Below are 3,297 nucleotides of genomic sequence, written 5' to 3' on the forward strand. Positions count from 1 at the left end.
ATGTTGACTATATCTTGATTGTCTTCTGAAACTAGGTGCAGAGGAAACGATGGAGCCAACTTAAATTTTCATACCTGTGGATGTAAAATAGTCAGTCTTCTTTAACACCTACAGAATCTTTCTAAATTCTTTTAACTAAAAAGAAAAATACCATAGTGGGAAAGGCTGTGTGTATGTGTTGGGCGGTGGCAATATAAAAATTCTCTGTACTTTCTGCCCAACTTTCCTATGAACCTAATACTACTTTAATAAGTAAAGTCCATTTAAAAAGAAAGAAGAAACTAGGGGTGATGGCTCATGTCTGCAATCACAGCACTTTGGGAGGCTGAGATGGGAAGACTGCTTGACCCCAGGAGTTTGCAACCAGCCTGGGCAACACAGTGAGACTCCCTATCTACAAAATATAAAAAGGAAATTAGCTGGGCATTTTGACACAAGCTTACAGTCCCAACTACTTCAGAGGCTGAGGTGGGAGGATCACTTAAGCCCGGGAAGTTGAGGCTGCAGTGAGCCATGATTGTGCCACTGCACTCCAGCCTGGGTGATAGAGGAAGACCCTGTCTCAAAAAAGAAAAGAAAAGAATGGATTTTCTCAAATCCATCTGCATGGATTTGAGAGTGAATCTTCCCCCACTTTTAATCCGAAAATCCAGTTATCATTTGGAGCTCTTTCACATTGCCTTAATTGTACTCTTAAATTTTTAAAATTTCACTGCAACTCTTTAATTTATGCATCTCTGTATTACCCTACTGAGATTTCCAGCTTCTCTCTTCTCTTCTTATGCATTACCACCCTGGTTTCTTAGACTTCATTTTATCCTACAGCCTATGGGGGAGGTTAAGCATTTTTCCACATTTTCTTCCTATTTATAGAATACAACAGTTGCAAAGTTTGTTAGATTTCCTCTGTGACTCAAGGTGTTATTCACTTGCTGTGATGATTAATGTTATGTGTCAGCTTGATTGGGAGACAGTATGTCCAGATATCTGGTTAAACATTACTTCTGGGTGTGTCTGTGAGATGTTTCCAGAAGAATTTGAGTTGGTGGACTGAATGAAGCAGATGGCCCTTCCCAATGTTTTTGGGCATCATCCAATCCATTGGGGGCCTGAATAGAAGAAAAAGGCAGACGAAGGAGAATGGATTTGTCCTCCCTCTGCCTGCCTGCTTGAGCCAGGATACCAATCCTTTCCTGCCCTCAGTACTCCTGGTTCTCAGGCCTTCCAACCCAGACTGCAATCTACACCATTGACTCTCCAGCTCTCAGGCCTTCAAATTGCATAGCTGGCCTTTGTGGGTCTCCAGCTTGCACACAGCATATTGTGGGACTTCTCAGTCACTCTACATTACCGCATGAGCCAATATCCTATAATAAATGTCTTGATTAGATAAATAGATGGCTACATAGATAGCCTATTGGCTCTGTTTCTCTGGAAAGCTCTGGTTAATACACTTGCCCTTTTTGTATTTCATAGAAGGTGTTTGTTCGCTTGTTGTTAAAAAAAAAAAAAAAAAAAGCAAGCTCTAACCAGAATCATTGTTTCCCAGCAGTCAATATATGTGGATTCCTTCCGAAGCATGCCACAATCCCTTTGGTGTAATCAAAATTCCTCCTTAGATACTCAGGTTGATGTGCATAATTGTATCCTATTTCCTAGTGTTTACAGACATTCATATATTTCGGCTTTGTTGGGCTATGGCTGGATTTCTTAATAGTTTCAACCAACAAAGCACAAGACCAACCTCAGATTCCAGTGTGCACTGCTGTAAGGGTTCCTCCTCATTTCCCCATTGTTTGCAGTCCTTTGCCTGTGAAGTCAACGTTCTTCCCTCCACCCCACCTGCTTTATGCCTTGTTATTGTCCACAAGGATGATTTTTCAAAGCAGATGATAGAGGTAAAAACACAGTAAGGAAGAGGAAAAGACGCTTTAATTGTAACAATAATCAGCACGTGAAAATAATAGAAATGATCCCCTAGTCTTGGTGCTATTGATCTAGCTTCTCTAAGACTGATGGTATATAGTGGACAAAGGCCAAGTAACGACAATTTGTGGAAGAAACACAAATGGCTGATAGTAATATGTGTGAAACTCAATCTTGGTAATAACCAGAGAAATGCACCTTAAAACAAGGGTACATTATATTTGTCTCTGATCTTAGCAAATATTTTAAAGTGAAAATAGTGATTGTGTGAATGCACATTGTTAGTGAGAGTGCAAATCAGTGAAGGGTTTTTAAAATTCTTACATCCTCTGAATCAGTAATTCTACTTCCAGGAATCTATTGTAAAGAAACTATAATAATAAAATGTGATACACAACATTACTTATAAAAAAAACCAAGACACCAATAACAGGAAAATGGTTAAAATGAAATTTGGTGCAGTTCCTTTAGGTAATTTTTTAAAAAAAAAAATTTTAATATTTAAGAATGTTTGTTATATCACGTTAATCCAAAAAAAGATTCATAACTCTGTTATATACTCCATATCATGCATAGGAATATCCAATTTTGTTCTACACATATATTTTATGTAGGCAAATTTTTCACCATATAAACATGTTTAGATATGCGTCTTTGCATAGACAAATTATTAGAAATATAGAATATTAATAATTGTTTTTGTTATAATTTATAAACTTTTTTTACTTTTTTCTATTTCTGATGGACTATGCTATGACATTTTTGTTTCTTTTAAATTTGGAATAGAAACGAGTAACATTGTAAAAATATATTTATTACTTTTAGAAAAATAATGGATTAACATGTTGATACAAAATTGGTTGGTTTTCTTTTTTTGCTTGCTTCCAATTGTTACTGGAACCTCAAAACATTACTGAGTCCATAGCACAGAATGAGACATAACCATGCTAACATAATGATAGAAAAAGAGGTAAAACAATTGATTGACTCCACTGGTGAATCATGCTTAGAAGCTGCTCAAAGGAAACTGTACTCTGTGTGATATGAATAAACTCAGAAGACATTCTGGAACCATTTATAGTAGTGAAAGAAATACTTTATTAAGTGGTCTCCAATGTATGGACTAGAAATGATTAATCATTCCTGACATTTACTAAGGTAAAAATGTCACAGATAAATAGACGGATGGATGGATAGATAGGTAGATAGAGATAGATAGATAGATAGATAGATAGATAGATAGATAGATAGATAGATAATAGATATATAAAGCAGTTAAACTACAGACAGAACAAAAAAACATTCAAGGTGAACATTTTATTTAGTTATTTCATTTGTTGACTTATCACTATTATTCTGTCTCTTCTACAA

At 36.0% G+C, this 3,297-nt stretch overlaps 1 annotated feature.

Annotated features, from left to right (window-relative positions):
• Positions 225–1,424: an enhancer, noted in NCBI's record as "CDK7 strongly-dependent group 2 enhancer chr6:165591001-165592200 (GRCh37/hg19 assembly coordinates)". NCBI's record gives its function as "activates an origin of replication core promoter dependent on BRD2, BRD4, P300/CBP, MED14 and CDK7 cofactors, with strong dependence on CDK7, by STARR-seq in HCT116 cells {active_cell/tissue: HCT116}" and the evidence as "EXISTENCE:reporter gene assay evidence [ECO:0000049][PMID:35650434]".

Source organism: Homo sapiens, chromosome 6 (assembly GCF_000001405.40).
Source record: "Homo sapiens chromosome 6, GRCh38.p14 Primary Assembly".
NCBI lineage: Eukaryota > Metazoa > Chordata > Mammalia > Primates > Hominidae > Homo > Homo sapiens.